Below are 14,184 nucleotides of genomic sequence, written 5' to 3'. Positions count from 1 at the left end.
AATGTGTTTTCAACAGCGACGTGAATATAATTATATGTTTCAGGTGCCATCTCCCCCTCCAGAGCCTGACAGTGACTTGGCCAAAGGATTTTTGCCTGATTTATTTCTCTGTCCCCCGTCCCAGCTCTATCGAAGCACAGAGGACCTGGCAGAGTGTCAGCCGGTGGGGAGATGAGCTGATTAATGCATGCCCGGCACCTTCCCCGGGCTGTCCCAGCTGTCTAGCCGGGCTCGCGGTGGCTGGGGGACTCTGGGGCTATCTGGGTGCCCTCTGACCGGCTGGGTATTGGCCCTTGCCCTCCTTCCATGTGGCATCTCTGCCCATCTGGAAGCTGAGCTGCACATTCCCCGATGAGGCCCTGGGCTCCAGCGGAGGAAGAGATTCTGAGATCTTGAGAGATCCCGGCCTCGTCCATTCTCAGGCCCCAGACTGCATGGCTGTTGGAGGAAGTGTGTAATTTAAAAAAGGTTTCCCTGGTTACATGGAAACTTTTGCGGGCAAAGAGAAAGAAATACGTTTTTAATGAAGTCCAGGAGCCCGGGGCGTTTGATCTTCTGCTGTTCCCGGAACAGGCAGCAGTGGCTTTGCACCAGGAACAGCGTGTGCTCCCGAGCGGCCCTGCCAGCAGACGGCGGGCTGTGAGGGGCGAGAGTGCAGTGGCAGGTCACCAGCCATGCCCGCTGTCCACGCTGATGTCTCATGGCCTCCCGGTCTCTCCATTTGCAGATGAGGAAGGCACGAGCCAAGGCCGGGGGCTGCCGGCTTCTCAATCCAAGCAGCGTCCACTCCCCGGCTCACAGCCCCAGCCAAGCCCACGAGACAGTTCCCAGGGGTGGCAGGAACAAGGGCCACAAAACACAGCCATAGAAATGCTTCTTGGGCACGGAGAGGCCCCTCAAGTCCACCACATCATAGGCGAGTAAGTACACATGGGTCCCTTGTACTGGGCACTGTGCAGCAGAGGCTTTCATTCCCCTGATGGGAGTGGAAATCTCTGCAGAACTTCTGGAGGCCAGCTTGGCTGTACATTCAGGAAGTGAGTCGACTCAATGATTCCACTTCTGGAAACTCACACTCAGGGAGTCTCTCGAAATTGAGGAAAATCTCCACACTGTTTGTCAGAGCACTATTTAGAGCAGCAGGAAATACCCACAGTGAAAATGCCCAACAAAGTGAATCATGAAATTCTCATACGTCCTCTCTCTGGAATATGATGCACCCATTAGAATTAGGTTTACGGGCCGGGCGCGGTGGCTGAAGCCTGTAATCCCAGCACTTTGGGAGGCTGAGGCGGGCGGATCACGAGATCAGGAGATCGAGACCATCCTGGCTAACACGGTGAAACCCCCATCTCTACTAAAAATACAAAAAATTAGCCAGGCGTGGTGGTGGGCGCCTGTAGTCCCGGCTATTCGGAAGGCTGAGGCAGGAGAATGGTGTGAACCCGGGAGGAGGAGTTTGCAGTGAGCGGAGATTGCGCCACTGCATTCCAGCCTGGGTGACAGAGCGAGACTCTGTCTCAAAAAAAAAAAAAAAATAGGTTTATGATGATTTTTAAAAATTAATTAATTAATTAATTTATTTTGAGATAGGGCATCCCTTTGTCACCCAGGCTAGAGGTCAGTGGCACCATCATGGCTCACTGCAGCCTTGACCTCCCTCGCTCAAGTGATCCTCCCACCTCAGCCTCCCGAGTAGCTGGGACCACAGATGGGTGCCACCAGACCCAGGTAATTAAAAAAAAATATTTTGTAGAGACGGGGTCTCCCTATGTTGCCCAGGCTGGTCTTGAACTTCTGGGCTTAAGCAATCCTCCTGCCTCGGCCTCCCAAAGTGCTGGGATTCCAAGCCTGAGCCACTGCTCCCAGCCTACAGTAAGTTTTTAAAGGCATGGGGAAATGTTTATGCAATCATGTTAAATTTTAAAAAACAACCAATATTCAAAACATTCTACAAACTATGAAGATGACATAAAATGCAGAGATTAGGAAAAGATCAGAAAGAAATGCACTGAATTGTGATTGATACAAATCTTTGGATGTTGACAATATGGAAAATTATCTGTTCTTTCTAGTTTTCCAAATTAGCAATTTCCAAATATCCAGTAATAAATGGGTATTATTTTTATAGTGGAAGAACATGTAAATGCATTTACCCCATTGACCAAGAGCACCTCATGACAGTTGAAAAGAACTACTGGTCTGGTATCACACCCAGCCTGGCTGAAAAGCCTGACCATCCCCTCCTACTGCCCTTGGTCATTCTGGAGCTATTAGAGTCAGCAGGGAGAAAGAGGACACAGGAATGAAAGGAGTGGTGGCCATTCTCTTGACCCAAAACAGGGGCAATGGTTGGACACTCTAGGCTCCTGAAAACCCATCCACATGTCCACCCATACATTCGTATATCCCTTCATTATCCACCCACCCACTCATCCATCCATCCATCCATCCACCTATCTGTTCAATCATCCATCCATCATCCACCTATCCATCCACCATCATCCATCCATCCACCTATATCCCTCCCCCCATCAAACCATCCATCCATCCATCCATCGATCCATCCATCCATCCATCCATCCATCCATCCATCCATCCATCTGTTCAATCATCCATCCATCATCCATCTATCCATTCACCATCATCCATCCATCCACCTATATCCCTCCCCCCATCAAACCATCCATCCATCCATCCCTCTGTTCAATCACCCATCCATCATCCATCTATCCATTCACCATCATCCATCCATCCACCTATATCCCTCCCCCCATCAAACCATCCATCCATCCATTCATCCATCCATCTGTTCAATCATCCATCCATCATCCATCTATCCATCCACCATCATCCATCCATCCACCTATATCCCTCCCCCCATCAAACCATCCATCCATCCATCCATCCATCCATCCATCCATCCACCCATCCATCTGTTCAATCATTCATCCATCACCCATCTAACCATCCACCATCATCCATCCATCCACCTATATCCATCCCCCCATCCATCCATCCATCCATCCGTCCGTCCAGTTATCCACCCATCATCCATCCATCCACCCACCTATATTCATCCATCCCCCTATATCCATCCATCCATCCATCCATCCACCTATATCCATCCATCTATCCATCCATCCATCCATCCATCCATCCATCCATCCATCCATCTACTGCCGACTCTACTGCAGACTCCTGGGATAGCACCATAATGTGGATGGATGTTCATAACCTGCAGCCAAATGTGTACAAATGATCTCCCCATCGCTCATGCTCTGCTCCTATCTCAGGTGCTCTAGGAGTCTCACTCCCTTACTCCTAGCTCCCGAAACCTAGCTGTCCTCGCCCCATTCCATCTGGGCCCCTCCTGAGCCCTTCCACTCCACTCAACTCTGTCCTGGACATCACCCCCACAGCCTCTCTGGCTGCTCTCTGCCCTTGTATCCCAATTTGCAGATTTTGCTGGGTGAGGAAGCGCAGCAGCTGCCTTAGAGGTCTGGGTGGGGGTTGCAGGGGAAGCAGGTTGCAAATAATTCATATATTGCCATAGCTCTTTCTCTTTTTCTTTCTTTCTTCTTCCTTTTTTTTTTTTTTGAGACAAAGTTTCGCTCCTGTTGCCCAGGTTGGAGTGCAATGGCTCGATCTCGGCTCACCACAACTGCCACCTCCTGGGTTCAAGCGATTCTCCTGCCTAAGCTTCCCGAGTAGCTGGGATTACAGGTTTGCAGCACTATGCCCAGCTAATTTTGTATTTTTAGTAGAGACGGGGTTTCTCCATGTCAGTCAGGCTGGTCTCAAACTCCCAACCTCAGGTGATCTGCCCGCCTTGGCCTCCCAAATTGCTGGGATTACAGCCATGAGCCACCACACCCAACCTCTCTTTTTCTTTTAAGCCCTGGTTACATCAAAATTTTTTTGAGATGGAGTCTCGCTCTGTCGCTCAGGTTGGAGTGCGGTGGTGCAATCTCGGCTCACTTGCGACCTTTGCCTCCCAGGTTCCTGCCTCAGCCTCCGGAGTAGCTAGGATTACAGGCACGCACCACCATGCCTGGCTAGGTTTTTTTTTTTTTTTTTTTCTTGTATTTTTAGTAGAGACGGAGTTTCACCATGTTGGCCAGGCTGGTCTTGAACTCTTGGCCTGAGGTGATCTGCCCACCTCATCCTCCTAAAGTGCTGGGGTTACAGGCATGAGCCACTGCGCCCAGCCTGGTTACACAAAATCTCAAAAAATAAAAAATAAAAAAAGTACCCTGATTGCTTCAAAGCTGCCTCCTAAAGCCTGAGTGTTTTGGGATCCTCATCTTGTCTTTAGACACTAAGCCCCCCAGGCTTGGCCTGGCCTCAGTTGCCATGCTGGCTGCAGAGTTGCCTGGAGCCTGCTTTCCTTCCCCACAAGCTCTGGGCTTCCAGCTCACGCTGCCTCCTCAGCCCTTCTCCCCTTCTCCCTGCCATGCCCCCTCTCCCCCAACCTGGATGCCTCCCTTTTTATCTTTGGGTTTCAGGTTCAAAATCACCTCCTCTGGGAAGTCCTCCCTGGTCCTGCCCTGATGCAAGGGCATCAGCCACGTGTCCCTTCCGGCCTCCTGGCAGTGGGGAGATGACCTTGACCTCTGAGTCAGCAAGGACTCAGTGACAGGCCCTGGGACCCCAGCGCTGCAAGCCCACAGACCAGATTTTGTTTCTCATACACCTCTGGTGAGGGGCACAGTGCTGGGCATGGAGTAGATACTCAGGAAGCCTCTGCAGAAGGAGTGTGGGCAGGAAATGGAAAATGAGCTTTGCCACCACTGATGTGACCCATGAGGTTGCACCCCCAGGGGGACAGTGACAGCTGTGGGTTCCCTTTGAAACAACTCTTGGCTTTTGTAGACCAGTGAGTGGGAGTACTGGTCGGGGGAACCAGGCTCAGACCAAGCCACTCAGTCTGTTTGCCTCAGTTTGCCTTTCTGTGAAATGGCCACAAGGAAATCTGCCTCATCAGAAGGTGGTGGTGGGATCCATTCTGAGACAGCAGTGGGGTGGCTGTGGTCCGAGCCAGCCAGTGCGCCCCTTGGCTGGATGATGTGTGCGTGAATGTGCATATGCACGTGTGCAGGTTGCTGGGGGATGCTGTATATTTGTGAGGCTCCAGCCAGCATAGGCCCACTTTGAGGCATATCTGTCTTCTCCCCTACCTGTACCTTGCTGAGTTGTCACCTTCCTGGGGCTCAGCAGAGAAGCCAAGCCTGGGCCCTCTCTCCTTCCCTCTCCATGGGCCAGGGCCTTTGTCACCACTTGGCTTAGGGCAGTGGCCTGTCTGCTCTGAGGCGCTCCCATGAGTCCTGTTCTCACTGCCAGAGCTCCTAGCAAGGAAGTCTTGGCTTGAAGTCCAGGGCAAAGTGCAGCACTGACTCTTACCCTCCTTCACCCAGCTCACTAGGCCTGACCATCCCCTCCTACAGCCCTTGGCCAATCTGGAGCCATTAGAATCAGCAGGGAGAAAGAGGATAGAGGAATGAAAGGAGTGATGGCCATTCCCTTGTACCAAAACAGGGGCAATGGTCGGACAATCTAGGCCCCTGAAAACCCATCTACACATCCACCCATACATCCACATATCCCTTCATTATTCACCCACCCACCCACCCATCCATCCGTCCATCTGTCCATCTGTTCAGTCATCCATCCATGCATCCATCCATCCCCCATCCATCAACTTATCCATCCCCCATCAAACCATCCATCCATCCATCCATCCATCCATCCATCCATCCGTTCAATCATCCATCCATCCATCCATCCATCCATCCATCCATCCATTCAATCATCCATCCATCCATTCATCCATCCATTCTTTCATCCAGGTATCCACCCATCATCTATCCATCCACGTATATCCATCCCCCCATCCATCCAACCATCCATCCATCCATCATCCTCCCACCCATCCAACTGTTCATGCATGTATCCATTCATCATCCATCTACTCATCTATCCATCCATCCATCCATCCATCCATCCATCCGTCCATCTGTTCAATCATCCATCCATTCATTCACCATCACTCATCCCCCACAGCTAACTATGTATCCACCCATCCATCCACCTATCATCCTTCCACCTATATCCAACCATCCGTTCATCTATCCATTCATCATCCATCCACTCATTTATCCATCCATCAATTTATCTGTTCAATCATTCATTCATCCATCCATCCACTGATCCACCTACCCATTTTCCATGCATTCATCCAGTCATCTTCCATCCCCCCATCCAACTATCCACCCATCCATCCATTCATTTATCCATCACCCATCCAAACATCTATCTATCCATTCATCCACCTCTGCTCTTTGTCTGATGTCTACTCTGTGGATCTATGGGGCCCCTGCTGGGTGCTGTGGACACAGGGGTAGCCAGCCTGGTCTCTGACCCAGGGGAGCTCACGGTGGGGTGGAGGACAGTTCACCACCCCAATGCTGGGTGATGAGGGCTGTGATGGGGTTGTTCAGTGGGGGTGGGGTGTGACCTCACAGGGTTCCCAGGGTGGTAGAGGATGAGGATGTGGTTAGGAGGTTTGAGTGAGAGATGAGGCAGGAGAGGCCGTGGGACCTGCTGGGGTGGCTCCCAAATGCCAGCTAAGGAGTCTGGAGGGCCTTTGATAAAACCTGAGGTCAAGTCATATATCACAAAATTCACCCTCTTAGAGCATACAGTGTAGTTTTTAGTATATTCACAAGATTGTGCAACCACCAATCTAATTCCAGAACCTTTACATCTCCCTGAAAGAAACTCTGTTCCCGTTAGTAGATACTTCCCCTTCCCCCATACCCCCAGCACTTGGCAATCACCAATCTTTCTGTTTCTGTAGGTTTCCCTATTCTGGACATTTCATACACAAGGAAACCTAGAATCTGTGGCCTTTCATGTCAGGCTTCTTTCACTGAGCACCATGTTTTGAAGGTTGACCCACGATGTGTCACTTGTTAGGACTTCAGTCCTTTTTATGGTTGGATGTGCATAGCACGTTATGTTTATCCATTTTCTGTTGATGGAAATTTGGATTGTTTCCATATTTTGCTGTTGTGAATAGTGCTGCTGTAAACATTCAAGTGTACATTTTTGTGTGGACATGTGTTTCTGTTTTCTTGAGTAGATATCTGGGGTGAGATTGCTGTAACTCTATGTTTAATTTTCTGAGGAACTTCCCGGCTTTTCTTCAAACCTCCTGCGCTATTTTACCTTCCCGTCAGCAATGTATGAGGGCTCTAATTTCACTACATCCTTGCCTCAATTTGTTATTGTCATTTCTTTTTTTTTGGTATAGCCATCATTGTGATTGTGAAGTGCTGTGACATTGTGGGTTTGATTTGCATTTTTTCTGATGACTAGTGATATCAGGCCCCTTTTCACGTGCCTGTTGCCATGAGTATGTCTTGTCTAGAGAAGTGTATCTTCAAATCCTTTGGTCACTTTTTTTTGAAACAGAGTCTCACTCTATAACCCAGGCTGAAGTGCAGTGGTGTGATCTCAGTTCACTGCAACCTCCGCCTCCTGGGTTCAAGTGATTCTCCTGCCTCAGCCTCCCAAGTAGCTGGGATTACAGGCACCCGCCACCATGTCCCGCTAATTTTTGTATTTTTAGTAGAGACAGGGTTTTGCCATGTTGGCCAGGCTGGTCTCGAACTCCTGACCTCAAGTGATCACCCCACCTTGGCCTCCCAAAGTGCTGAAATTATAGGTGTAAGCCACTGTGCCCAGCCTCCTTTGGTCACTTTTTAATGTGGATATTTGTTTTTTTAAATTATTGAGTTGTAGTAGTTCTTTATATAGTCTAAATACTATATCTGTATTAGATATGTGGTTTACAAATAGTTCCTTCTATTCTTTGAGCTGTTTTGTCACTTTCTTGTGAATGTCCTTCAAAGCACAAGTTTTTCATTTTGATGAAATCCATTTTCTATGTTTTTTCTTTCATTGCTTGTGCTTTTGGTGTCACAACGAAGAAACTCTTGCCTAATTCAGTCACGAAGATTGGCACCTGACCTCTTCTGATTTTTGTAGTGGCAACTCTTCCATGGCTGTCTTTGATCCATTTTGAGTTAGTTTTTGTATATGGAGTGAGGTAGGGGTCCAGCTTCACTCTTTTGCATGTGGATACCCAGTTGTCTTAGCTCCATTTGTTGAAAGATGATTCTTCTTTGATTGTCTTGGCACCCTCGTTGAATATCGATTGGCCATATATGTATGTATGGGTTTATTTCTGAACTCTTACTCTGTTCTATTGACCTATATGTCTTTAATTATGCCAGTACCACACCATCTTGATAGCTGTAGCTTTGCTGTAAGTTTTGAAGTTGGGAAGTATGAGTCCTCCTATTTTTTTTTTCAAGATTGTTTGGTTTTTCTGGGCCCGCTGCATTTCCATGTGAATTTTGGGATCAATATACACAACATAGGCAGCTAGGATTCCGATACGGTGAGGAGAGTCTTTGTCTACAGGGCAATGGGGAGCCATGGGGGTTTTTGAGCAGGTGAGTGACAGGATCAGACTTGAGTTTTGCTAAGATGGATCTTCCCAGCACAGGGAATGGATTTGAGGGAGTGGGTTAGGCCCAGGGGGATGCAAGGAGAGGTGGTGACAGCCAGGGGCTGGCCATGAGGTGACAGGCATGGGCTGGCCACAGGACAAGGAGCCGAGAGAGGCAGAGGAACCAGGGTCTCAGACTGGTGGGCTGTAGGGAGGGATGAGGTGGTTGTGTCTCTGGAAGGCCCAGCCCCACTCCTGGCTCCCCACCCTTCTTGGTCAGGGAGAGGGGCCAGGGAGCAGGCTGGACTGGGCGTTGGGACATTTGGATCCAACTCTGCCTCTGTCACTGCTCCACTGTGATCTCCCATGGGCGACTTCCCAGCCCCCACCCATCCCTCCTCCCCAGGGCCTGGATTCAAACAGACTCATCCAGGAGAGCTAGAAGGGCCCTATGAATCCACGCAGGCCACCATCTATTTTATAGATGGGAAAACTGAGGCCTCATGTGATTGACTCCCTGCTCTCCTCTGAGCTCTTTGGAGCCTCAGGTTTTGCCCTTGCCAGTCCCTGGGTCCATCCTCTAGGGCCTAAGAACAAACCGCCAGCCCATAGCTCATCCAACCGAGAGCTACAACTGCACGTGATACTATGACCAGGCCATTCCAGAAAATCCTTGCTCAGGAAGACACAGTTGCAAAGGACTTTCTTGTTTCAGGAACTTCCTGGAATCCATTTATCTGAACAATAGCTCACCTCACTGGGTGAGCTGCTTGCTCGTGAAATGACTGCTCTCTCACCAGGACATGCTTGAAACCCACGCCTCACTGCGTCCCCAGTGCCATTCTGCTGTGTCACTAGGTTCACCCAGTCCCAGTCCATCTCCACAAACTGCTTAGACCCAGGACCCTGACTTACAAAGGCCTTTCGTGACCTCCCCTTTCCAAGACACTCCTGGGACTCTGTCAGGGATACCCCCTGCAGACACAGACACTGAGCTTGGCTTGGCTGGGTGACTGCTGAGTCTCCCAGACAGGATGGGGCCCCTACACACTCCTGGCCCCCTACTTCTTGCGTATCCTTAATGGTACCTCTCAATCTGCCTTAACAAAATTAATAGACTTTATTTTTAGAGCAGTTCTAGGTTCAGAGTTGAACTGATTGAAAGGTGCAGAGATTTTCCACAGCCGCATGGCCCCACCATGCACACCCTCCCCTCTATCACTGTCCACCAGCCACATCAGGGCCACCCAGAGTCCACGGTTTCCATGAGGGGCCCCTCTTGGCATTGGACATTGTGCAAGGACAGGGACCCCCATGGTAGCATCATCCAGGGCAGTGTTACTGCCCTGAGATCCCCATGCCCTACCTGCTTATCCCTGTCTCCCTCTCATTCCTGGCAACCTCCGCTCCTTTCACTGTTTCCGTAGTTTGCCCTGCCCCACAGGGTCGTGTAGTTGGGATCACACTGTCTGTAGCCTTTTCAGACTTGCTTCTTCCACTCGTGAGATGCATTTTGAGTGCTTCCATGCCTTTTTTTTTTTTTTTTGAGATGGAGTTTCACTCTTGTTGCCCAGGCTGGAGTGCAATGGTGCGATCTCGGCTCACTGCAACCTCTGCCTCCCAGGTTCAAGTGATTCTCCTGCCTCAGGCTCCCAAGTAGCTGGGATTACAGGTGCCCACCACCACACCTGGCTATTTTGTTGTATTTTTAGTAGAGACAGGGTTTCCCGATTTTGGTCAGGCTGGTCTCGAACTCCTGGCCTCAGGTGATCCACCTGCCTCAGCCTTCCAAGTGCTGGGATTACAGGTGTGAGCCACTGTGCCTGGCCACTTCCATGGCTTTTCATGGCTTCATAGCCCCTTTCTTTCCCTTCCTTTCTTTCTTTCTTTCTTTCTTTCTTTCTTTCTTTCTTTCTTTCTTTCTTTCTTTCTTCCTTCCTTCCTTCCTTCCTTCCTTCCTTCCTTCTTTCTTTCTTTCTTTCTTTTTCTTTCCTTCTTTCTTTCTAAGTAAACTTTAATGTTGAAAATGGAAACTTGGGGAAGGCAGAAAGATCCCATACAAGGCTGTCACTTCACACTTGGAAGGTTGCACAGCGGCCCAGAGGGTCGGGGGGGCTGGGCAGAGGTGCTTCTCACTTCCCAGATGGTGGGGTGGCCAGGCAGAGGCACTCCTCACTTCCCAGACAGGGCGGCGGCCGGGCAGAGGCACTGCTCACTTCCCAGACAGGGTGGCAGCTGGGCAGAGGTACTCCTCACTTCCCAGATGGTGGGCAGCTGGGCAGAGGCGCTCCTCACTTACCAGGCGGTGTTCATAGCCCATTTCTTGTAATCGCTGAATCACATCTTATTGCCTGGCTGTGCCTGAGTTTATTCACCCATTCCCCTGTGGAAGCACGTCCTGTTTGCTTCCCATCAATTTGGCTTCGTTCAACAGCATTACTTGTGTAGGTGCCTTTCTTCCCCTTGAGGCTCCAGGGCTGGGCTATGGGATGCAGTAGTCTCTGTGACCCTGGGTCATTCAGCAGATGTGCATGGAGTGACAAGGGCTTGGATTTGGGGTTACGCTTCCCGGGTGGGCCCTAAAACCCTCATCGAGACTCAGGACCCCAAAGCAAGGGTCATGGGGGGTGGGGGCTGCCACTGGTGGAGGTGGAGAGAAGGCAGGTAGGCAGGAGCCTGCCAGGGCACCACCATTTGGCAAATGCCAACAAGGCCTGTCCCCGGGAAACCAGTGGGCCTGCCCTGGGAGGGCCTCACCTGGAGTGTCAGGGGGAGGCAAGGCTGTGAGTCAGAGAGGTTCTGATATAGCCGAAGGATGAGTGGGCCGTGGCCAGGGGAAGGTAACAGGTGGGCAGGTGCATGGGAGAGGCTGCCACAGAGGGCACAGCCCATGCAAAGGCCCAGCTGAGGTCCCCAGCATGGCTCAGGGCACCAGCAGCAGAGGACCTTGATGGGTGGGTGACAGGGAGAGGAAGTCCAGGGTGCAGGCAGGCAGGCTGCCCTGGCCCCAGCCCCTGGGAGGAGTTTAGATCCTATACGGGGACCCCAGACATGAGCAGAGGATGTTCAAACAGAGGTGCAGCAGCTCTGATTAACGGTTTTAAGTTCAGGCCAGAGACCAAGACGGTCTGACCTGCAGAGGGGGCTCTGGGAGGCGAGGAGGAGGCAGATGGAGGGGGGTTCAGGAGGGGCACCTGGGGCTGTTGTGGGGGAGTGCGGTTTGCAGATCTCCAGGATGAACAGTCGGAAAGCTCAGGTGTGGCTGCGCCAGGCACTGGCCTCCATTCTTGCTGGCAAGCCGGCGTCTGGCTGTTCTCCATTGCTCCTCCCCTGCCTCTGTCCAGGCCCCGCTCCTCCCCCTACTTTCCTCCCCTCGTGCCCTGTCTCCTCCCTGCCTCAGGTGGGGGCATTGATTTGGTGCCTCTGGGACAGTGATGAGGCAGTGGAATGTTCCTCCTCTCCCTCCTTCCCAGCACAGGCCGCGGTGCCTCCAGGCACATGCATGGGCTCTGCGGGGCCTGCAGGACTCGCCTTGGACACTGAGCCTGGCCAGGAGCTCTGCGACTATTTCCTGTTGAATGCACATGGTCGTCCCAGGGCAGAGGCACCACTGCCCCAGTCTTACGGTGAAGGCACAAGGCCCAGGGAGGTGACGGAGCAGGGAGAGCTGGGAAGGCGGCAGAGCTGAGCTGTGAATCTAGGTCCAAATGCCCGATGCTGCCTCTCTCTCTTTTTTTTTTTCCAGATGGAGTTTTGCTCTTGTTGCCCAGGCTGGAGTGCAATGGCGAGATCTCGGCTCACCACAACCTCTGCCTCCCGGGTTCAAGACATTCTCCTGCTTCAGCCTCCCGAGTAGCTGGGATTACAGGCATGAGCCACCACGCCCAGCTCTACTAAAAAAATTTTGTATTTTTAATACAGACGGGGCTTCTCTATGTCGGTCAGGCTAGTTTCAAACTCCTGACCTCAGGTGATCCGCCCACCTCGGCCTCTCAAAGTGCTGGGATTACAGGTGTGAGCCACTGCACCTGGCCCCGAGGCCGCCTCTTAAGCACGGTGCCCCTGCCCCCTGCCTGGCTTCCTTCTCTCGCTAACTCACTGGCCAGCTGCACCTTGAAGAGGTGGGGCTGGAGGTCCATTTTCACTTCTGAAGGTCACCTGGGGGCATCTCGGAGGCAGAGCTGGGGTCTCTGCCCAGGGAGGCTCCTGTCTCTACACAGGAGGGGCTCCCCGTGGGAAAGGGGATTGGAAGCTGCGTTTGCAAAACCAGGACAGAAGAATAGGACCACCCACAAGGAAGGAAGGGCAGGAGGGAGAGGGTGGTGCCCCTTCCTCCCTGCAGCCTGCAACAGAGCCTCAAGCTTTCACAGCTTTCACCTGAGGAGGGAAGAGCTGGCTCGAGCTTGGCTTTTAGTGTGGGGTCCTCAGGGATGCGATTTGCCTTTTGAATGTCCACCTGGTGGTCGTGGGGTTCCTGCGATCCCTGCAACTCACTGGCTGTATGACCGTCTTCATTACCTTGTGCACAGGGTAAGCTGATAAGTAGTTAACTGGAGAACAGTGGTGGGGAAGGGAAGAAAGTTGGGTTGTCTGAAGCATCCAGGAAACTTGTATCTTCTGCATTGGTCCCCCATGCTTATCCTGACTGGATGTCCCCGTCTCACCCTAACCGTAAAGGTAACCCTAACCATAACCCTAACCCTAACCCTAATCCTAACCCTAACCCTAACTCTCTAACTCTCTAACTCTCTCTAACTAACAACTCTCTAACTCACTCTCTAACTTAATTAACATTATTCTTCCCAGGTGGGTGTGTGCTGCCTTCTCTTCATCAACCACTAGGTGGCAGCAGTGCCCCACAGATCCCATCAGGCCGCCTGCAGGCGGAGACTGGAGAGCCACCGTCCTTCCTGGGGTTGCCTCACACCTGGCCCCCTTCGTGGGCGCCGTCCAGGACGGTTCTGGACGATGAAAATTCCAGCTGTGGGCCCTCCTAGGGCTGGGCTGGGGAAGCCACACCTGCGCCCCTCAGTGTTCCCCAAGGATCACCATGTAGCCCATCAGCAAACCCTTCCTGCTGTGTCTGACCCCTGCCCAGGCTGTGGGAGGGAGGCCCCCAGGTGAGGGGGGATGGCAGTCAGGGAAGTTTCCCGGGAGGAAGGCCCAGCGGGGAGGCGGCCAGCCTGCCCCGGCCGGGGGTGTGTGGGGGCAGCCTGAGGAGGAGGGCTGCATCCTGGGGCTGCCCACATCCAGGACCAGCCAAATAATGAGCTGGCCCAGCCAAGGTGAACCAGAATGGGGGCTCTCCTTCACCAATGACTAAGAATCTCAAGACAGGATGGCAGAGCACTCAACCCAGCGCGGGGTCCTCTGGTCATGGGACCTGCTAGTTCCCTGCACTCCCCTTCCCAAATGTCTGGAGAAATGCTGTCCACAAAGTCTTACCCTCTGCCTGGTCAGCTCCCAGCAGCCCTGCCTGCCCTGGGATGGGCCAGCCTCATCCCCATTTTACAGAGGAGGAAACTGAGGCTCAGGGAGGGGAAGGGGCCTCCCTGGGAACCCCCATCCCTTTCATCTCCCTGGCCTTCTGCTCGTGAGCCACTGTCACTGCCATAGGAGCTGGGGGTTGGCCCTCAGAGTCCCAGGCCAGTCCCCACCCACCAGCG

Source organism: Homo sapiens, chromosome 22 (genome assembly GCF_000001405.40).
Source record: "Homo sapiens chromosome 22, GRCh38.p14 Primary Assembly".
In the NCBI taxonomy this organism is placed as follows: domain Eukaryota; kingdom Metazoa; phylum Chordata; class Mammalia; order Primates; family Hominidae; genus Homo; species Homo sapiens.
Note: the sequence above shows the minus strand (reverse complement) of the source record.